The 25,727-nt window shown below is 38.7% G+C and overlaps 1 long non-coding RNA gene across 1 annotated transcript in view; it reads left to right on the top strand.

The window, feature by feature from the left end:
• Positions 1-9,468: 9,468 nt before the first annotated feature.
• LOC105377144 (uncharacterized) overlaps positions 9,469-25,727 on the top strand; it is a 192,342-nt gene continuing 176,083 nt past the window's right edge. The window contains exon 1 of the long non-coding RNA XR_940939.2: positions 9,469-9,542. This is a non-coding gene — a long non-coding RNA (uncharacterized LOC105377144). The remainder of the gene's footprint in view (positions 9,543-25,727) is intronic.

The raw sequence follows: 25,727 nt of genomic DNA, 5'->3' as shown, positions 1-25,727 counted from the left end.
AATAAGCATATGGGATTTGAGATCCAAAATGAGAATTTTAGTTCTGATACAACCCCTTGCTGACCTGGTGACTGAAATCACCTGATGCTTCTGAGCCTTCATTGTTTTATCTGTAAAATGGGGATAAAAATAGTACTTAACTCTCAAGGATCTTCTAAAGTTAATTCGTATGAAAACAGAAGCATGCTCAAGTCCTAGGTGGTGTTTTTAATTCTTCATTTTCAGCCACCCTTGGAGACATTGCTTTGAGGAATAAACATGCAGGAAAGAAAGTGTCTATTTACCCGATAATTAGGTTGTGTGGTGAAGAACAGATGGGGGTCCCTTTCTACTGAATGAAGCATCAAAATGTGTTTGCTTAACTTATCCAGATGTGTTCCTGAGGGTTCCATCTCAGCATGACCACATGAGTACAGCAAAGAAACCCTCAGTCCCACGTCGCTATGTACTCAGTGGTAAACTCAGGCCCCTAAGGACACTAATTTGATTAGTGGCCTCTTTCTAAGCCATAGTGGTTTCTGACAATAAAATTTAATGTTGCAGAAATGTTCAATGCTGTAATACTCTATCTCTTTAAGCCTTGGCTTCAGAACCTGTTTGACCTCGTTAGAAAAAAAAAAATGACGTGAAAATGTGTTTCCCCAAAAAGTTTTCTTTCTCTTGTTTATTAGAAAACTGTCACAGATCAGTCAGGTGTAAGAAGTGGCAACAATACAGTTTAGCTAGCATTTCTAATGCAGATCTCTAAGATATAACTTCTTGATCCAGCAGAATTCTAATGAGTCTTCATTGAGCCAAAAAGGTGGGCCCTAGCTCAGAACAACTCTTTATGTTTGCACACTAGGCTCAGCTATTGCTGGCAGTAGCGGTCACAGTAACATCCCCATTGCTACTTCCTTATTTGATTTAATTAAATTCAGAATTCTATCCCTTGACCCAGGAATTTGGCAATATGCACTTAAAGAGCCACAAAAAGTCCATTTCTTTGACTTCTGGTTCACCTTTAGGAAAATGGTTGTCAGTTGTGGTGTATGCATTCAATAGAATATTGTACAATCAACAAACATTATAGTTATGAAAGCTATGTTGAAACATAGAAATGTTCATCATATAGGCCAGGCATGGTGGCTCATGCCTATAATCCCAGCACTTTGGGAAGCAGCACTTGAGGTCAGGAGCTCAAGACCAGCCTGGCCAACATGATAAAACCCCATCTCTACTAAAAATAAAAAAATTAGCTGGGTGTGGTGGCTCACGCCTGTAATCCCAGCTACTCAGGAGGCTGAGGCAGGAGAATCACTTGAACCCAGGAAGTGGAAGTTGCAGTGAGCCAAGATCACACCACTGCACACCAGCCTGCACAATAGAGTGAATGAGATTCCATCTCAAGAAAAAAAAAAGAAAGAAATGCTTATCATATAATATTAAGAGAGAAAGAATTTGCAGATGTTGGTGCATTTTTGTAATAACTATGAAAAAATATGCCTGAGAGAAAAGACTAGAAAGAAATTTCCCCAGAATCCTATTATCATGCTATTATCCTGCCATTATCATGTGACAATCGTGAGATCATAGATGCTTTAAAAAAATCTTGTCTTTCAAATAATGAATAATATTTTTTAAAATAAAATGGAATTTAGAGATTTCCAGCCCTCAGACTTGCTCTTGTCCTCATTTCTCTGTCTAGTGCATGATGTACACCTACTTCATATTTGTGGAATTAATAGATAATTAGAGTAACCTTGGAACCATAAGGAATGATTAATGATTACTGAAGAAATGCTATACGTCCTACAAATAAAAGGAAGTTTCACAAAGACATGAAAGGAAAAAAATGTGGAGAAGAGTAGGCCACATTAACATTATTTTATGGGTTCTAAGTGCTCTGTTTTACTTCCAGGCTTGGAGAAACAAATGTCTTTAGGAGAACAAACTTTTTGGGAAGGAATGACTGCCATGCAATGCTCTGAGCACATTTGCCTGGGTCCTTAAAGTGCAGCAGTTGGCAGGGCTCCTTTGGTGGGAAGGGTCCTTGCGGGAGAGTTCGGAGACTTGGATCCTTACTCTGACTCAGAGCTCTGCAACTTCCCACATATACTTCAATCTCTCTGAATACTGTTCTAGAATGAGGGCAGTATAATCTCTAACCTCCTTTCCAGCTCTCAACTTTATTCAGTCATTTATTCAGCACATATTTATTGAGCGCTCACTGCATTCCAGACACTGTGCTAAGTACTTGTAGAGGTATTAATAAAAACGAAACAAAATCAGAGTAGGACATAGTTCCTCATCTGAAAATAAACATCTGAATCCTATTGGGGATGAGGAAGGGGTAGGAGCAGGACACTGTTAAGGAAGCCTTTGTTTTGAATCTACCTTTACAAATAGGTATATAAATGTGTGTGTGTGTGTGTGTGTGTGTGTGTGTCTGTGTGTGTGTGTTAAAATCACCTTTCACCTAAGACAGCCAAAAGGAATATTATCACTTTATTCATTGTGCTCATACTATGTTTAGCACATTAAAAAGCAGTTAGAGAGGCCGGGCGCAGTGGTTCATGCCTGTAATCCCAGCAATTTGGAAGGCCGAGGCAGGCGGATCACTTGAGGTCAGGAGTTTGAGACCAGCCTAGCCAACATGATGAAACCTCGTCTCTACTAATAATACAAAAATTAGCCAGGCATGGTGGTGTGTGCCTGTAATCCCAGCTACTCAGGAGGCTGAAGCAGGAGAATCGCTTGAACCCAGGAGGCGGAGGTTGCAGTGAGCCGAGATCGCACCACTGAACTCCAGCCTGGGTGACAGAGTAAGACTATGTCTCAAAAAAAAAAATCATTTAGAGAAATATAGTATCTGTCTACAAGAACTCATAAGAATTTGAGTGAAATAATGAATATTTTTACATGTGTAGGGATGAGGACCTAGTTGGGGGATAAATTTCCTGTGTCTCATATTTGAATCCTTTATTACATCTTGGTTGGTCTCTGTCCTTTTTTTGCTATGATTGTTTACGTTTTTATTCCCCAAATGGACAGAGTGTAATTCTAAGATTCTTAAATTCCCTTGTAATAAGAGGGAGAGAAGAATGTTCACAGTCTCGCCTAGGCTTCCCACCAGGTGCCAAAACCCAAACCTTCAATTAATGTTGACATAAAACTAGACCGAGACACCCACTAGTCAAATACCATAATGTAAACTTTGCCAGTGCTTTAAATCAGTCTGCAAATTTTTAAATCCTAACATAGTTTCCTTTCCTTCATTTATTACTGAGTCCTTCTGTATTCATAGACCTTCTCTTAATAAAAACAGCTAACACGTGCCAGACGTTTGCTGCATGCCAGGATCTTCGTAAAGCACCTTCTATACATTACGTAACTTGTAATCCTTACCAAATTACTAAGAAGGAGGCACCATTAAATAAATGGGAAATTCATTGTCTAGGGCAGCATGACAATAGTAATAGGGCACATACCCAGGGAGGTGGCAAAGTCTATCATTTTGAAATTATGTAACAATAAAATATAAAGTTTCACTTTATGTACATCTGAAGTCACAACAACCTGGCTTGCAGTAGACAGGGTATCATTCTGCTAAGATGCCCTCCTTCAGGCCTTATTTACCCACTTGCTGGGAGTAAAATGGGCTGACTGATCTCAGGTCAGTGTCTCTCCAGATTTTGCATCAGCTGAAGAGAGCTGCCCTGCTGCAGACCATACCTCCTTCCCTTCAAGAACTGGAAGAACTGGTCAAAATGGGTATGAAAACCCAGTGCCTTTGCCTTAACATTGGACATCCTAAAAGAGATATCTCAGCTTCAGAGCATCCTTCAGGGTTGACTGGAGCCTTTGTTTTAACTGCATCCTTTTCCCTACCTGTAAATATCCCAACACCACTCCTTAATAAGCTTTTTTTTTTTTTTTTTTTTTAAAGAGGGAATCTCACTCAGTCACCCAGGCTGGAGTGCAGTGGGGCAATCTCTGCTCACTGCAACCTCTGCCTCCCGGGTTCAGGTGATTCTCCTGCTTCATCCTCCCAAGTAGCTGGGATTACAGGTGCACGCCACCACACCCAGCTAATTTTTTGTATTTTTAGTAGAGACAGGGTTTCACCATGTTGGCCAGGCTCGTCTCAAATTCCTGACCTCAAGTGATCCACCAGCCTCTTCCTCCCAAAGTGCGAAGATTACAGGAGTGAGCCACGTGCCCAGCCCTTAAGCCTCTTGAATGCTCATCTCTACGTAGTATCTGCTTCCCAGGAACCCAAGCAAACCCAGCCAGGAATCCAAAATTTGTCAAGAATCATGTAATTTCAAAGCTTGGTTAGCTAAGTGTTTATAAACTATGTGAATGAATGAGTGATTGAATCAGTGAACTGTCTACAAGGAAGTCTGTCTTTAGCCAGTAAATGAAACATATTTCATCCTTTGCCTGGGTCAGTCTTAGAGTATCTAAGGGCTTTAGGAACATACTTCTTGCATAAAATGTGTTCACAGTGTTAGGAGTTTACATACATTATCTCATTTTATTCTTATAACAATCCTATGAGGAAGGTACTGTTTTTCCTCCATTTTGCACGTAAAGAAACTGAGGCTAAGAGAGGTTAATATCTTATCAAAGATAAGAAAGTGAAATCCAGAGCTGGAATTTGAACTCTAGTCATTTTGGCCTTACAATCCTTGCTTTAAAACCACCATGCTAGGCCCAGTGTGGTAGCTCACACCTGTAATCCCGGCATTTTGGGAGACCAAGACAGGAGGATTGCTTGAGGCCAGGAGTTCAAGGCCAGCCTGGGCAACATAGAAAGACCCTGTCTGTATAATTTTTTTTAAAATTAGCCAGGTGTGGTGGCACACACTTATAGTTCCAGCTATTTGGGAGGCTGAGGCAGGAGAATTACTTGAGCCCAGGAGTCTGAGGCTGAAGCAATCCATAATTGCACCACTGCACTCCATCCTGAGCAACAAAGCTAGACCCTATCTCAAATAAAACAAACAAACAAGCAAAACAACAAAAGCAAACCAAAAAACCCACCATGCTATGTTATCTCACAGATTAATATATCCTGGCTTCTTCCACAATCCTGTACATATAGAAATAAATATACATGCTCCTTGACTTATGATGGGGTTACGTCCTGACAAACCCATCAAAAAAAATATTGTAAATCAAAAATGCATTAAATACACCTAACCTACTGAACATCATAGCATAGCATAGCTTACCTTAAACATGCTCAGAACCCTTACAGTAGCCTACAGTTGGGCAAAATCATCTAAGACAAAGCCAATTTTATAATAAAATATTGAATATCTCATATAATTTATTGACTACAGCAATGATGTAAAAAGTCAGAATGGTTGTGTGGGTACACAAAGTATAGTTTATACATAATGTTGCTGACTTTTACACCGTTGTAAAGTCAAAAAATTGTAAGCCAAACCATTATAAGTTAGGGTCTGTGTGTAAATGCTTTTTACTTGATTCATTGACTTGACAGTGCCTGTATAAGTTCATTCACACGTTGCTATAAAGAAATACCTGAGACTGGGTAACGTATAATGAAAAGAGGTTTAATTGGCTCATGGTTCTGCAGGCTGGATAGGAAGCATGGTGCTGGCATCTGCTCAGCCTCAGGAAGCTTACAATCATGGTGGAAGGTGACGAGAAGCAGGCAAGTCACATGGCTGCAGCAGGATCAAGAGGGAGAGCCAATGGGCGGTGCAACACACTTTTTAACAGCCAGATCTCACGAGAACTCAGTCACTATTATGAGAACAGCACCACGTGGAGGGTGCTAAACCATTCATGAAAAACGCATCCATGATCGAATCACCTCCCTCCAGGCCCCATCTCCAACATTGGGGATTATAATTCAACATGAGATTTGGTTGGCATACTGATCCAAACCATATCAGTGCCTAAAACAAACTTTTCCCGTAAGCATTCAAAAATGACCTTAGGCCAACTGGAACCCTGCATGGAAACTCTACCAATTGCTCTCCTTTACCTGAGATACAGGTACAGTCGAGGTTCCATGGGAACCTGTATCTCAGGCCCAGAAAGGGAAGAGAACATCATACTACAAAGCATTTACTGGTCAATTGAGTGGGTAAGAACAGTTTTTTCAATTAGAAATGTTCATGGAAAAGAGAAGAACACTTTCTTACATTTACAGAGGATTATTTTGTGTGTAGATTTCCCAATCAATATTTTAAAGATTGACTTTCCATGTCATCAGAAGAATAATTACTAGACACACTGACACCTGATGTTCAATTTTGAACCGAGATGAATTGTAAATGTCAATTAATATTGTATTGTATAGAATCACAAGCTTTCAACTTAATTCAATACATATTGAGCTTATATAAGACATAATGGAGATAAGATGGTGAAGACCCAATCTTGACATTGAGGAGATTATATTGTAAGATGATGAGGACACTCACATATATTTTTAACACAGATACAGTGTGATAAACAGAGAGGGCAGATATAAACCAAGGACTGTGGAAGGAACAATGCAGAAGAGACTTATTGGGCAAGGATGAGAGACAAAACCTTTGTTTTGTAGGCTGATTGCCTGAAACACACTTCTGAATAGTCACTCCTCACCTCAAAAACTTTCAAGAGCTTCCTATTGCCTACAAATACAGCCTCAACCCCCTCACATGGCCTTCAAGACCCTTGTCTGTTGAGCCACAATTCTTGAAGCATAGTGATATAGTTTGTATATTTGTCCCCGCCCAAATTTTATGTTAAAATGTAATCCCCAGTGTTGGAGGTGGGGCCTGGTGGGAAGTGATTGGGTCATGGGGGCAGATCCCTCATGAATGGCTTAGTGCTGTCCTCATGGTAGTGATAGTGAGTTCTCAGGAGATCAGGTCATTTAAAAGTGTGTGGCACCTCCCCCACCCCACTCTCTCCTTTTCTCACCGTGTAATGTGCCTGCCCCCACTTTGCCTTCCGCCATGAATACTAGTGCCCTGAGGTCTCCCCAGAAGCTAAGCAATTTTGGTGCTATGCTTTTACAGCTTGCAGAACTGTGGGCCAATTAAACTACTTCTTCTTTTTTTAAAATAAATTATCCAGTCTCGGGTATTTCTTTATAGCAACACAAGAAAGGCCTAATGCATGTAGGGTGATCATCTTATCCTCCTTTTCCCAAGACTTCCCCAGTTTTTGCTGACCGGAAGTTCTGCTTCCCCAGAAAACCCTTCAGTCCCAGGTAAAGCAAGACAAGTGATTGTTCTAACTACACATTTTAGTGTGTGATGAGGCCAGACTGAGCCTAGCCAGAGTAAGCCACCCTCTGTTCATTCTGACTTTGCCTTCTTTCTCACTTCTGAGCTGTCCTTCCTGCCTCATCTCCTTCCCCCAGCCCTGTATTGAAATCCTACTCATAACTCAAGAACCATTCAATGCCACCAGCACCAAGACTTGGTGACAAGATTAGCTATATTAACATTATTACTATGAATAAGAGCTAACCTTTATTGAAACTTCTGTCACATTTTAAGTGGATTTCTGTATGTAACGATCACTTCACCCTCCATCATGTACACTCTACAATTATCTCTGTTTTACAGATGTAGAAACTGAGGCTCAGAGAGAATATTATAAATTATCCAGGCCGGGTGCGGTGGCTCAAGCCTGTAATCCCAGCACTTTGGGAGGCCGAGGCGGACAGATCACGAGGTCAAGAGATCAAGACCATCCTGGCTAACGCGCCAGGCACGGTGGCTCAAGCCTATAATCCCAGCACTTTGGGAAGCTGAGGTGGGCCGGTCACCTGAGGTCAGGAGTTTCAGAGACCAGCCTGGCCAACACGGTGAAACCCCGTCTCTACTAAAAATACAAAAAATTAGCCAGGCATGCTGGTGGGCGCCTGTAGTCCCAGCTACTCGGGAGGCTGAGGCAGGAGAATGGCGTGAACCCGGGAGGCGGAGCTTGCAGTGAGCCGAGATTGCGCCACTGCACTCCAGCCTGGGCAACAGAGCGAGACTCCATCTCAAAAAAATAAACAAATGAATTATCCAAAGATATTTAAAAAGCAAGAGGTAAAGCTGAGATTTAACCCCAGATCTCCGTAACCCAAAACTTCATGCTGCTAACTGTAATAGTATATGGTACACATTGTCTCCCTTCCTAGATTCTCCTCATGTTAAATTAACACCTTTTTTTTTTTTTTTTTTAGAGATGGAGTCTTGCTCTGTCGCCCAGGCGAGAGTGTAGTGGCGTGATCTTGGCTCACTGCAACCTCCACCACCTGGGTTCAAGCGATTCTCCCGTCTCAGCTTCCTGAGTAGCTGGGATTACAGGCATGCACCACCACACCCAGCTAATTTTTGTATTTTTAGTAGAGACGGGTTTCACCATGTTGGCCAGGCTGGTCTCTGAAACTCCTGACCTCAGGTGACCCGCCCACCTCAGCCTCCCAAAGTGCTGGGATTATAGGCGTGAGCCACCGCGCCTGGCCAAATTAACACCATCTTTAAAATAAATGCCTGTTAGGCCACTTAGCACTCTACACTGCATTAAAAACTTTATACACCTGACTGACTTATTTCTGCTGCCAGACACTCAGCTCCTTGATTTCAGGAACTATGTCAAATTCATTTCTTAATCCCCCAGAGTATGAAGGAGACACAAGAATATGTGTTGCATGAGAGAACGGACATATAGACAGATAGACATTTTTAAAGTGAGCCTTTAAAGAAAGCAGCTTTAGATGGGGAGGTTACGCCAGGCAAAGTTAATAGTGATACGAATACTACTAATTGCAGCTAACATTTGGTGAATTCTTCCTCTGCACCTGACAGTACACCATCTCATTTTCATAAATTACCTGTGGAGAAAAGTCTTATTACTTTCCTAGTTTTTCAGATGGAGAAACAGAGGCTCAGAAAGGTGGCAATTTGCCTAAAATTGCATAGCTGGTAAATGGCTAAGAGGCAGTTTTCAGACCCACCTTTATCTGATTGCATAGCATAAAGCTGTGGACGCTATGCTTTACATACTGAAGAAACGGGAGAAATTCCAGGATGTGCTTGCAGAAACACCGAGTCTACCGGCTGAGAGGAAGCATAGAGGGTGCGAGGAGAGTGGGCATGAGGCTGCTCTTTATTTTACAGAACCTTCCCATTCCCTGTCTCATTCGGCAGGGGTAATAATGATAGCTAACATTTGAGTATTTTTTTGAGAAAGCACCATACAGAGCACTTTTCATGGGTCAGCAATCTCATTCACTCCTCACAACCCTTTAAATAGATGCTGTTATTAACCTCATTTTTGTAACAGAAAATGAGGCTTAATGGGCATGGGTGGATACTGAAGCTAGACTTCTTCAAAACCTCTTCTTTGAGGTTTGCAAACACTAAGGAGAGTTGATCATGGCAATAGCATCCGACCAGACATCTCCTCGGAGTCTCGCCCCCACGTGGAGCTCGAATGAAGCTCGCGGGCTGTTTCAGCTGAAACCTCTTCCTGCGGGCGCGCCAGAAAGACAGGCGCCATCTCAGAGCTTCCTGCAGGACTCAGCATCTGTAAGTAGTTCAACACTTGGCACCCCCAGCGTGTTTCTTATATTAATTTGGGGTTATATTTTGACATGTGATCTCCTAACCTGAAGAACAGGGTTGTATATTTAGGCCCCTTCAATGTGGGCTTAATTCCACCAGTTAACTAAGCTGCACTTAAAGGTTTGAAAGAGCGGTATGTGTTCAGCTCACAGCAGTTTCCCCTGTAAGGAAGAGGCCGTCGGGACGGCCTCAAGGCTTCTCTTTGACACCAGAGAGAAGGTGAAAGTGAGAGCAGCCAGGCGTTAGCGTCAACCACAGCTGTCCAGGACAGCCTGGACGCATAGGCGACTCTCCTCTGCCACCTAGCGCTGAAAAGAAAGGTCTCCTCTTTCTGACATTCTCAACAACCGTTTCTCTTGTGTGGACAAGGAATCTAGTTGTCCTTTGCAAGGGGTAATTTTGTGGTATAGAAAAGGTTATTCATCCTCGGCTGCTTTTCTCTTTTTTTGAAATTTGGAGCATCTTGATCTTTTGGAAAATGAGTTTTGATATTTTGATGTGTGGGGAAATAAAACTAAACCGAGGTGGATCTTGTATATTTATGTGAATGTGCACTTCATGGAATCAATTTCAATCTCAGAGTCGGCCCTTTGACAATATAATGCAGGTTTCTTCTCACCCGTGCTCCCTATCGTCTGGCTTTTCAGAAATTGGTCCTTTTATACAATAAGCATGAGGTTGGACAAAAATGAAGTCTGAAAGCTCCAGAGCAATTTTTGAACTGTGACGTTTAGTTTAGAAATCTAAGTTTAGTGAGCCTTTTTAGGGGAAAGATGACATGCTGTACTTCAGAACTTCCTTAGGGGAAATAAGGAGACTATTGCTCTTCCTGTTTACAGATGCAGAACAGCCCCTGACTTGCCCTTTCCATCTTACTGCAGTGCCCTTGAGCTTCTGAATGTTGTGGGTGTCACTTAAGTCTCTAAAGTCTTGTTTCCTTGACCTCCGAGCCTTGCAAAGGAAAGAGTTTATGTCTATGTAATTATTATGATGATTCGTGTTACATATTTATATTTATTTGGGAACTAAATTTTATTTATCCTAGGTGTGCTAAATCTTTAGCACACCTGAAATTTATTTGGGAAATAAATTTTATTTATTTTAGGTGCGCTAAGTTTTTAGCTCACCTAAAAATGTTATAAATGTGTTGAAACCAAATAAAAACAGCAAAAACCCTGTGTAAATCCCTACCTTTTGAATCCATTTTTCAGATAGTAATTTTAAATTGGTAAAATTAAATCACTAACTACTATAACTGTCTTCTGCACAAACCTACATGTACAGAAGCGCTAAAAAGAAGTTATCTTTGGAACTTTTAAACTCATTTTCTTGTATTGACACTAAACTCCGTGAGATATGGTGGGGCCTTTTCTTATTATCCCGTAGAGCTCAGTGGATTTGGCGTAGCTATGTGGATGACGGTTGAAACAAAAAACCATGATAGGCTATGGATCTTCTAATATTCACAAAATTTTATTGAACAACTTTGTTGAAATAGATGATTATCTGCTGTTTATCGGGGAGAAGAAAAGCTTTTCAAATTATTACATTTTGATGTTGAAGAAAAATTTTAAATCACATGCAGATGCCTGTCCAGAAAGGTTAATTTTAAAATGATAGCCTTTGCAGATTCTACTAGGGCCGGCAACAATCACAGTTTCAAGAAGAATTCAGGCAGGTTATGCTAACTACTACATAAATGGCTAAAACTGGAAATGATATTCAATCTTCTATGTCAGGGGAAACCACATTCTATTTCTTTTCCTATAGCTATATTGTTTTTGTATATTATGTGCATATAGGAATTGTGAAAACAATAATTTTAAATTTCTATGTACATTTAAAGAATTAAATTGTTTTTTAAAATCATTCAATATGGGCCAGGCGCGGTGGCTCACGCCTGTAATCCCAGCACTTTGGGAGGCCGAGGCGGGCGGATCACGAGGTCAGGAGATACAGACCATCCTGGCTGGCATGGTGAAACCCCGTCTCTACTAAAAATACAAAAAAAATTAGCCGGGCGTGGTGGCGAGCACCTGTAGTCCCAGCTACTCTGGAGGCTGAGGCAGGAGAATGGCCTGAACCCAGGAGGCGGAGTTTGCAGTGAGCTGAGATGGGGCCACTGCACTCCAGCCTGGGCAACTGAGCAAGACTCCTTCTCAAAAAAAAAAAAAAAATCATTCAATATGCTTGTATTAAAAGACAATGTTTATGAACATAAAATGTGTTTGTCTGTTTGCTCTATGGGATTATGGTACATTGACTCTATTTGTAGTATAGCCATAAAGAAACAACTTCAAAATGAATGAAGAAATGATGATGATGATGATGATGATAAAAAGTTTTTTAGATGCATGGCACTATCCCACAGTGTGTACATGTATTATCTCATTTGAATTGCACCCAATTCTATAAGGTGGTACTGTTGTTCTCTATTTCACAGACGAAGACTGAGTCTTTCTGAGTTAAGTACTTGCATATGGTCTTGAAACTCTGAAGGTCTAGAGAGAACATTCTGACCCGCACTTTCTGGCTTCTAAAGCTGTGCTATTCCACCTTCATGCGACTTTCTATTTTCACCCTGTGGTTAGTAAATGCAGTTAATTAGAGCAAGTGATAATGAGCCAGTCACTGACTGAATCCCTAAGTAGTTTTTTAAATTTCTGTTTTCATGAGTTTATCAAGATACAGAGTTTTATGCTTTTCTTGAAAGAATTAATTAAGACCTGGCAACACTGGTGCTGAATTTCCTCAGGCAACAATCAGCTCCCTGGATTAGATGGGGCTGTGCTCTCCAGTTCATAGAAGTCCTCACTGTCTTCAGCTGTCTTACCTCCTTGGTCCCTGTTGTCGCTTGCTTTGGGACTCCTGCTTTATTTAAAGACCTGCAGAAAAGTAAGTTAATTTAGCAGCAAAGAACTATGAATTGGAAGTCTCCAATGTGTTAACATTTGGTATATAACACGTTTAGTTGTTTGTGTGGTTTATTGCTTTGTTGTCTTTAAAACAGTTAAAAGGATATAGAATAAGATATTTTAAAAGTTTGCATGGAATGCTGAAAACAGATGCATGAACCCTAAAACATGGATTCAAAATTTTGAAATAAATAATAAAGTTCTCCCTCACACCCCTCAGTAAAGCAGATATTCTCAAGTGTTTTGTTTGCATGCAATTTCCAGAAGAAATAGAGAAACACAAGATTGTATGCACAGGTGCAGACCCCAACTCACCCAGCTACCCCTAGACTTTTCCCACACCTTAAGAGCCACCCCCACATCTGAACCACAGACTGAGCCCCGGTCCTGACTCTGATATTGACTTGAAATAGAACCTTAAGTCTCCCAACTTTTCTCATTAATATAATAAGGGAATTGGTCTAAGTTACTTTTTTTTAAGTCTCCTTCTTGCTCCAAGATCCTATTATTCTGAAGTTACACTATCTGTTCTCTTTCTTTACATCTCAAGAAGAAAAGGTAGCAGAATCCTCTTTCTTATCAGAATTTTAGATCACAAGCAAAAATCCTAAACCTTCTTCCAAGGAAAGTCAGATTAAATTGAAATATAACAAATTAAAGTGCTCAGAGTTAAGCCTATAGGGTTTAAATGAGCACCAGCAGTACCTGAAGAAATATAAGGAATAGGGTTGTCATGGTCCATAATGTTACCCACAAGATTAAGTCTTCTACTTAACGTCTTAAAAATATAGTTGAAAGAAAACTCTGGAAAATTTTGAATATACATGAACCTTCTAATGAAGATTAACATTTTGTTTTACCCAACAACCCTAGTAAGCAAAAAAAAAAAAAAGTTGTTGTAAACTACTTGTAATTTCCTTAACTGTATTAGCTTTGTTCAAATTTAAATTGATTGCATAGACCTAAATAATTTTAATTTCATAAACTTGATTTTCTTATACTTAAGAGGAAAAAGTGCAGAATATATTTGCTTTATTCTTAGCTTTCTGTGGGTTTTGTTGTTTTGAATATAAAATCTCATTGTCCCTAAGATAATGAAAATATTATTCTTTTAAAAAAAATGCTTTCTATTGTGAGAAAATTGGATGAACATCCAGAATAGATTAGGAACTTGATAACAAAATTCAATATATACTTATTCTCAGTATAGATAACCCTTTCATTAACTAAGAAAATTATTTTAGCTTTAGCTTTCAACTGAATTTTTATTACATTTTCTTAAATTTAATAGAGGAAAAGAGCTTTTCACTGCCAAGTTTTTGTTATCTTGTTTTATATTAATGGAAAATAAGGGATAGGGAATGCAAATAAGGGAGAAAAAAGGAATTATTTGAATACCTATTAATTGTCAGGCCTCCTCCAGACATCATCCCAGGTAATGGTAAGTATGGTAGGTATCACAGTCCCTATTTTGCTGAAATGAGGAGACCAAAATGTGATCACTACCTCACATCTAGGCAGGATCTGATTTTAGGTTTGCATGTTTCTAAAGCTTGAGAGCTTTCTATTTTATCATCGTGTATATAGGAAATATATTTCTGCCTGTGCACTGTGGCTCACGCCTGTAATCCCAGCACTTTGGGAGGCTGAGGCAGGCAGATCACTTGAGCCCAGGAGTTTGAGACCAGCCTGGGCAACATGGTGAAACCCCATCTTTACTAAAAATACAAAAATTAGCTAGGTAGGGTTGTGTGCGCCTGTAATCCCAGCTACTTGAGAGGCTGAGGCAGAAAAATCACTTGAACCCAGGAGGCGGAGGTTGCAGTGAGCCAAGATCGCGCCACTGCACTCCAGCCTGACAACAGAGCGAGACTTCCATCTCAAAAAAAAAAAAGAAAGAAAGAAAGAAAAAAAAAAAGAAAAGAAAAGATTTCCGTGCAAGTATTGTTTCCTACTTGTCTTCCCTGTTAGACTGTAAGCCCTGTGAGAGCAGAGATTGAATTTGCCCTGTTGGCTACTCTGCTCTCTGTCCTAGCAGGTTTCTTGGATACTAACTACTCCAGAAATATGACCTGCGTGAACAAACCAATGAAATAATGAACTAGAAACATAAATAATTGAAACTAGATACAATGAAATGGAAACTTATTTCACTTTCCATGTTTTGAAACACTTATTTTCAGGCTACTAAAGAGGATGGTTGGAGAAGTTTGGTGTTAAGTTCAAGACTGATGTTAGTGAATATACTGAAAGGAATATGTGACTTGTGACTTGCATTTAAAATAATTATCTTACTTTTAGATCCTTTATTGTGAAAGTGGAAAACACATGTTACAACATCTATTTAAAAGAATTGCAAATAAGATATTTTGAACCACAGTCTGTTCTAGATGGATGTCAAGTAAACTCCTAATAAAGTAATTTGCAATAGACTGTCTTCCCAAAATAGAGCATTAACTACATGATGACAGTTTTGTTTGCATTATCCCGAAAAACAAAGTCTCCAGTTTAGTCTTAGCGATCAAAATCAGCAACCAGTGATTACTCCCTGTCTTGAACACATTTATTTTAAAATCTTTGCACATATGCCAATGCCTTAGAGTCAGAAACTGTTCTTTACACAAAGGTTCTTGAACTGTCTTTGGATAAAACACTTTCACATCTTCTTTTATATATTCCAAGCTCATTCATTTTATGGTAATTAGCTTGGGGACTTCGTGTCTCAGTAAAAGTATGCCTTTTTTATACTTGGTTACTTTTAAGAAAAAAAAGTCTTGAAATGAACTACTTAAATATATGCAAGTTAAAATAATCCTCCTGTACTCTTTACTGATTAAGTGCAGAATAACTTTACAAATGATTACTTTGAAGTTCTTTTGTAAATAGAACTTATTTTGTGATCAACAGCATTCCCTTGTTCTAACTTTTAGACCATTGACCACAAACTTCTGAAATAGACAATTCAGTCTTTTCTGAGAATTGTTGATTTCTATTTCATGCTTAATCAGTGGAAAAACAGTACTGAATTTCAAATATAATATCCTTCTGTTACCACTTAATGTCTTCATTTGATATTAAATAGCTTTTCACTGTCATAGTGTTTCATACAAATGTACACAGAGAAAACTGAGGAATTTTATTAAAACTGTTGTTCTTGTTGTATTGAGGAGAGTAAATATGTTTTACTCTATTCCTCAGAAGAAAGAAAATTATATTTCACATCTCTCAAGTGAGATCTTCCTAAACTTCATATTTCTAATACATAGCTGTTAAAATAGTTTATTTTCATTTTTCCTTTTTAATCCTAAATTAGAACACTGAAAATAACAATTCCAGACCATAATTGTGTTCCTTTTTGCTGATTTTATTACTTTCAGTCACTATTCAGATATTATACACTAAAGACACTAGAATCCACTTTGAGAATTCCTGTTAGAGCTTTAGAGTTTTCGAGTCACCTTTGATCTTAAATGGTTAATCTTTCTTTTAGTATTTTGTTTTCATAAGTCTACCGTATTTATTTTCTCTTATCCTTTTACTTATATAAAAGTAATTCATCATTGCTGCTAAGTCCTTTTTAACTTTAATTCTATGTTCTGAGTTAATTTTGGAAAATTGAGTTCAGATCTCGTGGAGAACCATAAGACATGATGCACATTTGGGTCACTTTTTAAGATACTGTTGCCATTAAATGTTTATTTTTCATTGACATTTTAGCAAATCTTTTATTCTCAGTTTTATATACATATGGCATACCTCATTATTTGGCATTCTTAGATAGAATTGTATATGGTTAGAAACTTTCCTGCCAGGCAAAGCATAAATCTTTACATTTCAGGTATATCAAAAGGTAGTGGTGGGACAATCTATAGTTCTAAGATTTATTTTTATTCCTTCCTTCCTTTTTACTGTATCTCATATTGGTAGAGCGTCATATATTTACCAGACTCTGTGTAACAACTAAGGACCAGAGGTGAATAATATCCCTTTGGTCCTGGTTCTCAAAAAAACCGACTGCAATTAGTAATGATGGATGGGCACAAATGCAGGTAATGAGGAGACCATGTGATAAAAGCAGTGACAGAAAGGTGTTGAAAGTGCTATGGGGTCCAGGGGCAAGAAGGGACCAACCCTGTATACTGTAGCCATGGAAGAGTTCAGAGGAAATGAAAATCCAGGTTTTTCTTTAAGGAAGCAGAAGGTTCTAACCAGGTGGTGAAGGTGGAAAAGAACATTCAGGTTGGGAGCTCTTCACCACCAATAACTCTGAGGCTTGGAGATCAGATCATGTCAGGAAGACAGGGCCCAGGTCAGCTTCCTCTCCACCACTTAGTGGTTCTAACCCTTGCTTAAGCCTCTTAAGGTGCTTGAGCATCAGCCTCCTTATCGGCTGGATGGATTAAATGAGATCAATGCCAAGCTTAGTACAGTAGGGGATACAGCATAGATGCTCATTAACATTAGTTTCTTCTATTACTTGAGTGTTCAGGGATGAACAATAGCTCCATGAAGTTAGAATATAAGGAGATTACTGGAGAGGAAGGACAGCGAGTGACCAAAGGTAAAGTCAGAAAGATAGGCTGGGGACAAGATTGTGAAGACTCTTCTATTTCATACTTGTGTTTTATCTCATAATCAATAGAAAGCCAAGGAAGTAGCAGAAGAGTGACATGATCAAATCCACAGTTACAATTGGATTTCTTGGGGCATTCCGGAAGATGGACTGGAAGAGAATACTGCATGTCCTTCCAGTCCATCTGGAATCTATTGAAAACTCATTTTGGTTGTCTGGGCCAGAGAGGATGAGAAATGGATTCTAGCTACTGGAAAGTTAAGAAACGATGCCAGGTCTGCCTGTGGTGGTGACCTGAGGCACAGTGTATCCCCAGAGCTGCGAATAGCTGTGGGATGGTCTCTGAGGCCTAAGGAGCCTTAGCAAAGGAGCTCTTGGCTGAAGTAAGAAAGAAGGATGCCTATTTCCAAAAGGTCCATAATGCTCTAGGGAAGGAGCAACTGCCTCAGTAATGCCTAGAGACTGAAGATCAGGGAATTGTCCCATTCTCCTGGACCTTGCAAGACCAGAATAGCGCAAGAGAGCTACTCTCAACCTTGACAAGTACAGCTACAGTTAGATGTCATTGCAATAATATTTTTTAAATATGGCTTTATGTTTTTGCACTCTGAGTGACATGATATGATGCAAACATGTTCAAAAAGATTTAAAGAACAGAGATGGCTTCACCTTGTCTCTTTCTCTTAATTATGCCTACTACTGCCTTTCTAATCTCCCTGGAAGATCATTACTTTCTCTTAATTATGCCTACCACTGCCTTTCTAATCTCCCTGGAAGATCATTCTACATTTACTCTCTGTATTAGCAAGCCCACTAGCAGGAAACAGACAGTACACTGGAATTAGGATAATTCAAGGATGGTTTAGCAAAGAAACTATTTATAAACATGGAGGCAAGGCACACGGAAACCACAAAGAATAGTGCAACCCCTTGGGGCTGCTATCACCTTAAGAATCATCGGAAACTTGAGTTGGTATATTTTAGGATTGTAAAAAATTAACTTTAAAATGTCTCCAGGTTGCTATTTCTATGATGTGACACAGGAAGGATCCACTTCAGATGTGTATTAAATACTTTTTAAAAATTGTCATGTATCTTTTTTCATAAGATGAGGACCATTTTAATTTATGTTAATTTGTTAAATAGTTTTGTTGTGATAGGGATTTCTTTCTTGTGAGGATGTGCCTTATATTCCTATGTTATTTTTCCTTCTATATTTAGTTGAGACAATCATATGATGAACAACCGCTTAATGATTACTGCAATCTGAATATGACTACTCAGTCTATGATTTAAGAGATTTACTGGGAAATAACTTGACACCTCAAAGAAATATTTAAGTTAGAGGAGAAGAATAAGCCAGTGATTTTGCTTTTTCTTTTTCCCCTGATATGCCTTAGTTTTTCTTATTCCATATTTTATTTGGGGAAATTGTATGCCTCTTTAAGCCCCCAATTTATCTATTGTATCTTCTGTACCCTGGTAGCCTTTTCTCAATTCTCAGAAGGCAATTTTCCCCCTTTGAACCGCTTTTGCTTTTTCTTTTATTTTATTATCCTCTTCTCTGGGTGGCTTCATCTTTAAGGTCTCGTTTTCAGTTTTATCTTTATCAATCTTCTTCTTCCTTATTGATCTTGTCTTTCATTAAGTGTGATGTATATGGGGATGATGAAGATAATTAAGGGTTGAAAACAGAATGATTAATTTAGCATGGGAAGACAAATAGAACAGGGGCAAAATGTTTAACCTGACTCCACCTCCAGGGCACTACTTGTATCAAAGAGTAAAAGACACATGGAATTCAATTGCTTCTGGGCATGTAAGTGATGCAGTTCCAGGTAGAACTGCAAATGATATTAGGAAGAGGATTGCCTCCTGGAGGTTGGAAGTTTGCTCCTGTGGCATTCACTTCTGTGTGGGCCCTCGCTCGACTCATGGGTGCTAGCTCTGGTTTTGTTATTAAATTGCTTGGACTTTGTTCTTTAAGTTACCTCATCTGCTATAAAAAGGATTTTAGATAGACTCTAGTGTATGGACAGAATCATCTGATTTTGCTCTTTGAACCCTACATTTTATGACACAAAACAAATTCGCAGTTAAGATAAAATACAATGCCTTTTAAGTAGTCTGCCTTTTATATCCTTATTTATTTGAACTACTTGATTTTGAGATTAAATAAGTTTCTAAAAGTTGAAAATGTGATGAGAAACATACCCAAAGATATTTCTTCAAGGGCATACATTACAGCGTTGCTTATAAAAAGAAAATGTCAGAAACAGAAGCCTAAATGACTATCAGCGGAAGACAGATATCCATTTATAATTCAAACAACAAAGCTATGCAAATATTAAAGTAGATGCATTGTGCTGCCATATGAAGACCTCCGAAGTACATTTAATGGGAAAAGAAAAAAGTGGCAGGCCAGTTAACATAAGCCCATCTGTGTTCAAAGGGGGAAAAAAGGGCTATACTTACATACGCTTGAATATGCAGACAAATCGAACTAGGGGTGGGCTGGGGAAAGTAAGCTCTTTGGAACTGCCTGAATTTTCATTAGTTGCATGCATTACTTTGTTTTTTACAAAAGCATAATGAAGACTTCCTTAATATTTCCTTGATTACAACTGAAATGTTTATCTTTGTTTCCCTTTACTTTCCTTCCTGAACAATCTTGAACAAGCAGTTAGGTAGGGCACAGCAAGGTAGGCTTTGCATGAAGGAGTAGCCTGATGTAGGGTGTTGAAGACCAAGCAGGGCAAAGAGGGCATCCGAGTGAGTGTGGGAAGGCATGGGGACTCACAGCCCAAGCAGAATGGGGAGGGCATCCTTACAGAGAGTCAGCTTGGTGTCAGAGCCCATATAAAAGAGGAGATGGCTCTATGGGAAGCAAGAGCCTAGGTGGGGTAAGGAAGATGTCCATACATGGGAGTGGCCAGGCATGGGGTGTCAGAGCCCAAGCTGGGTGAAAAGGATTTTCACACAAGAGGGTTGCTCAACAAGGGGAATCAGAGCCCAAGCGGGCTGAGAAGACATCAACATGGGAGAGATGGGTTGGGAAATTGGTTACAGTGATGAGTAAATATAATTATTATGGGGGCCTGGTTCCTTAGTCTTAGAAAGACAATACAAATACAGAAAGGGAAAGGACTAGGATGGATTCTGTGATGTTGGATTAAAAATCAGATATATTGGTATGAATTCATGAATTTCAATATATAGATAGAAATCAATATCTATTTCTATAGATAGATATAGCAATCAATATATGTAGAGATAATTATAGTTGTCTGGATATATGTAGATAGGTATAATTATGTGGTTATGTATTATATGTATACACAGACTTAAATTGGTACACATATAGATATATGTGTGTGTGTATATGTGTGCAGTTTTGTGTATGTGTTCCCTAGAACACACAGTATCCACTGAGAAGGCTTGTGAGCAACAACACACCAATATCAATGAGCACATCTAGCACCCAAATCTTGGCTTCTATATATAGTCTCCACTAGAAGGTTCAGGGTTTCTTGGAGGATTGACTGATATCTGGGCTAGGGCAGTGAAAGAAGAAGGTGAGCCTGGAACATCTTGTGCCAGAAAGCAAGGAAGTGCTCAGATAATGATTGGCACATGGCAGCACAAAGGCATTTCTGCCCACATCTGGGACAAGTTAAACATCAAAGTCAATCATGTTAGTGACAGATTTTAAGTCACTGAATAAAACAGGAAATGCGCGACCATGATGATATAAGTAAATTAATGAATAAGTTGATGGTTTGATGAAGAGTTGGACAGTTACATGGTTTCAAAGTGTCTCTCTCACATACTTATAAATTACAAAAGGGAAAAAAAGCAAAATTATAGTAGAGACATCTGGTAGATGGCACCTCATGCTAGTAATCAAAGTGAATATCATTGGTAATGGGACACAGAGAAATCATGTGCCACCTGATTGGATGCAATGGGAACACAGCATCCCTTCTGTGATTTTCTTGCTAAAGATTCAACACCTGAATCTAGATGTGAAGAAACATCAGACAAACACAAATTAAGGAAGAGTTAACACAGTAACTGTTTTTTATCTTAAAAGTATCAAGGTCATGAAAGTTTTAAAACTGCAGAGAACTGTCCCAGACTGAAGGAAACTGAAGAGACATTACAACTAGATGTAAGTTTGGTTCGTAACTGGATCTTTTCACTATGAAGGACATTACTGAAGCAACTAGGGAAACTTGAGTAGTGTCTGATAATTAGATATTGCATAGTAATATATCAATATTCATTTGCCTGTTCTAGTGTATGTATTATAATTATGTAGAAGAAAGTCCTTGTTTATGGGAAATACAATCTGGGGTCATGGGTCTCGGGTTGGCGATTTATTCTCAAATGGTTTAAGAAAAGAAGTTTGAGATAGTTTCATAACAAAAACTAAAATTTATAATGTGTAATATTGCATGAAAAGACAATTTTTATTTCTGTAAGCTTTGGAAATTTTCATTAAATAGGACTTTGTGTAAGTCTAGAGAGGTTTTAAAGAAAGAAAAACATTTCTACTGACTATCTTTTGTTATTTTAATGATATTAATGATTAAAGTCTAGAAAAATAAATGTTAAATTGTCACTTCATATATAAAAATAACTAAAGGCTCTCATTATTTGGCTTTAAAACAAGACTGTAATATACTTAGTCATTTTGGAAAAATGTTCCCCTTATATAGCTTACCTTTATATACAATATTACATTTTTATAGAGCAAATTCTAACAGAATATCTTAATATCAAATTCATATACACATATGAGATTTGTATGTTTATAAAATTCTAAAATAGCTGCTTTCCCAGCTGAATCTGCCAAGGATCCTACCTACTCTTTCCCCATCTCCACCTAATACTCTCTACCTTGCGCCCCAATCCCCGGCCAAATTAAATAGAACCCAGATGAATGAAGACAAGGTTGTTTCTGCTAAATGTGAGAACATGCAGGATATTTTCCTTGAATTGAATGTAACTACATTATTGAGCAGCTTGAGAATAAAAATGTATATGACACAGTCTCTGTCCTAAAGGTGTATGTAGTCATTGTCAACAACGTCAGCTGGTGGTTTGCCTTGATGAAAGAGTGAAGTTAACAAAAATATATTTCATTTTCCAGAGTCAAATGAAGATCACCCCAAATCCTCAGGTGCTGTATGCTGTACCCTGTTTTCAATACCCCAGATCCTCAGCTGCTGCACCCTATATTTAATCTAAAGGTCTTTTTGAAGTAACCAGTGATTATCCCAGAGTGGATATTGAAATAGAAGAGCAATGCATTAAATTGTAGAATGTTCTTCCCTGCTTGCCTCTGAATGGTTTTGAATTCATCTTCAGTACATTATTTTGGGCCTTTTATCACTGCAGTTTTTAACATAACTGAAGTCAGAGCTCATAGAAACCTTCTCTATATAATCATAAACTAAATATTTATAACGAGCAAATGATTTGTTAAATTTATCACTTACGTTGTTAATTTTACATGTATCTGAGTGAAACTGAGAGGTAAATCGGAAGGAAGAAAAATTAATCACTATATTCATTTTGCCTAAGTCTTAAAATCTTATCAGATAACATCTACATTTTGCATCATATGAATTAGGTTGGCTCCTCAACACAAAATGCTCTCTAGAACAATAGAGGGCTGTAGAATTAGTTCTACCCTGAGACTAGTGCAGAGCAAGCCTGACCCACTATGCTACATGGCACCTCTTGAACCAGAGGGCCTGAACCCTGAAAGTGGAACAGACCAGGGAAACTCTTTCCAAGTCCAGGCACTGGTATGTGGCAGTTTCAACAGTAAGTCGATACAAGAGCTCGGATGGGGAGCTGTTTGTAACCCATAGAAATATCTGCAACATCAATGAAGAGGAGGCTTATTTTAAATACATGGAAGAATGCAAATCAGACTTGCAAAAGATGGTGCTTGAATGTTTAAATATACATTTTATACCTTTTGTTTAAATTCATAGGGTGAAAAGCAAGATTTTACTTTAAGTGTGTGCATCTTTGATTTTATTTACATATGCAATTAGAGAGCGGTATGTGATACACACAAAGTCATCTAAACGGTTATTCTTGAACAAATCAAACTGGAATCCTGTCATGATTCTTTACCTTAAGTTTAAACCATTTTTAACAGCTTAACACCCTAAATGGATTTTTAGAACCTCAAATAGTCAGTTTAAGTCCTTATCTTACTATTGTAACGTTGATCATCGTACATTTCTAAACATTTTAAAAAACATATGGTGACTTAATTTTTTTATTAACTTTATTAATCCTGGCTTCTGCTATAGGGAAAGGAAATATAATGACACAGGAATGTCACCTTTTTGTGTGGCAATCTTTAAAATGATTATTTTCTGTGAGCAGTTGGGATTGGAGATTGTGTCTGGCAAATAGGCTTCTGCAGGCTCTCCCTTCAGCAATGTTTATCAGCTGCATGATAAGGAGTCAGTTTCTATGTAAATATAATCAGTATTTGATGGTGGTGAGGAAACCTCCTAGATTAAATGATTTTTGTGGTTCCTTGATTAACATACTTTATGAAACCATTACCATATGCACTACCGCTGCACATTTGGAAATAGCTCAGCTTCAAGTCTAAGGTCTTTCTAAAGAAATGTGAACTCTTAGAAGGAAAAAGTATGTGTGTGTGTACTCCTGTGACAAGGAACTCAAGATGCTGTATTTTGATACACTTGTATTCTTCCATCTAACATTCAACAATTAAGTGTTGAGTATTAACTATGTTTCAAGCCTGCTCTAAGCATGTATATACCACCCCAGCAGTCAGCATCTCTATCTGAATGGGGAGAGAAAGACAGCCATGAGATTAAAGGCTATTATTTTAGATCCAGCTTGTCCAACTCACGGCCCGCATGCAGCCCAGAACAGCTTTGAATGCATCCCAACACAAATTCATAAAGTTTCTTAAAACATTATGAAATTTTTATTTGCAATTCTTTTTAGCTTGCCAGCTATCATTAGTGTTTTTTATATACAGCCCAAGAAAATTCTTCCTTTTCTAATGTGGCCCAAGAAAGCCAAAAGATTGGACACCCTGTTTTAGATAGTGACAAAAGAGGGAAGAGTATGAGGCTTTTTTTGCTGGGTAATCAGACAATGTCTTTCTGCATTGACATCTGCTGAGACCTAGTTGATCAGAAGGAGTCAGCTGAGTGAAGCTACAATGAGTAATCCAGGGAGATCAAAGAGCAGTGCCACGGTCCAGAGGAGGGAATGAGCATGGATGTTCAAGGCATGTGAATTACACTGGGGCTGGAGCAGGAGGGAGTAGGAGCGGTGACTGCAGCAAGGTGGTAGGCAGGGGCGTAACGTTTAGGGCTCTTTATGTAGGGGCAATAGGGTTGCCAGATTTAGCAAATAACGATATGGGATACCTTGTGAAAATTGAATTTCAGATCAACAATGAAAAAAATTTAGTGTAAGTATTTCTACAGCAATACTTGGTATTTGGTATTGGATCTGGCAATTCTATTCTTTTTTTAAAATTATTATACTTTAAATTCTGGGATACACATGCAGAACACGCAGGTTTGTTACATAGGTATACATGTGCCGTGGTGGTTTGCTGCACCCATCAACCCATCATCTACATTAGGTGTTTCTCCTAATGCTGTTCCTCCCCTAGCCTCCCACCGCCTGACAGGCCCCGGTGTGTGATGTTCCCCTCCCTGTGTCCATGTGTTCTCATTGTTCAGCTCCCACTTATGAATGAGAACATGCGGTGTTTGGTTTTCTGTTCGTGTGTCAGTTTGCTGAGAATGACAGTTTCCCTTCTGTTCTTATTCTTATCATCCAAAGTGGAACACTTCTCAGTGAAGGGTGTGTTGTTGACAGCTCATCTAGGACAGTGGCTTTGCCTGGATTTGATTCTGGCAAACCAGGCTGTGTGATCATTGTACTTATGGAGTTTGAATTTCTGGAGGAAGTTATTGGAGAATTTTAATGGGTGATATATCATATTTAATCTCCTGTGACTGTTGTGTGGAGAGTAGACCCTACAATAGAGTAACTAACATCAGTTAGTTGGAGATGGGGTGAGTGAAGCCTATTGATGGACAGCGGTAAGATGAAGGTAACACTGGATTCTTCCTTTGTTATTGATTAGTGTTAGACCTGGTTGAGATTGGTGTATAAATACTACTGACCCGTCACCACACACACACACACACACACACACACACACACACCAATTTGCTTACTTTTAGAGGCCCCATGCTACATTATAGGAAATATATTTAGTTGCACAAACATCTCTATAAACATGTACATATAATTAAGAGCTGTCTTTCAATTGTCTAATATGCCCAGTGTTATGTTTTTGGAATGCTTAATTAAATACTTACTAATTCCTATGTTACAGTTTTCTCTGTATATTTTGCTACTCCTTTTCTTTCTCTTTCAGGTCTCAAGCCTTTTCAGAGATCCCTGAAGAGTTTGTAGAAACTCTAGAGCTTTGGGCCCATGATAGCTTTAAAGCTGGAATTCCAATGAGTCTGACTGTCTTCCTTACCCCATGCTTTTAACCATGATTTCACTAAAATATCTCTTTGCACTATTGAGTAAGTGTATCTTAGCTTATGATTTCAATGTTTC

The sequence above is a fragment of the Homo sapiens genome, chromosome 3, assembly GCF_000001405.40.
Source record: "Homo sapiens chromosome 3, GRCh38.p14 Primary Assembly".
Classification (NCBI taxonomy): Eukaryota; Metazoa; Chordata; class Mammalia; order Primates; family Hominidae; genus Homo; species Homo sapiens.
Note: the sequence above shows the minus strand (reverse complement) of the source record. Positions and strands in the feature narration are given on the sequence as shown.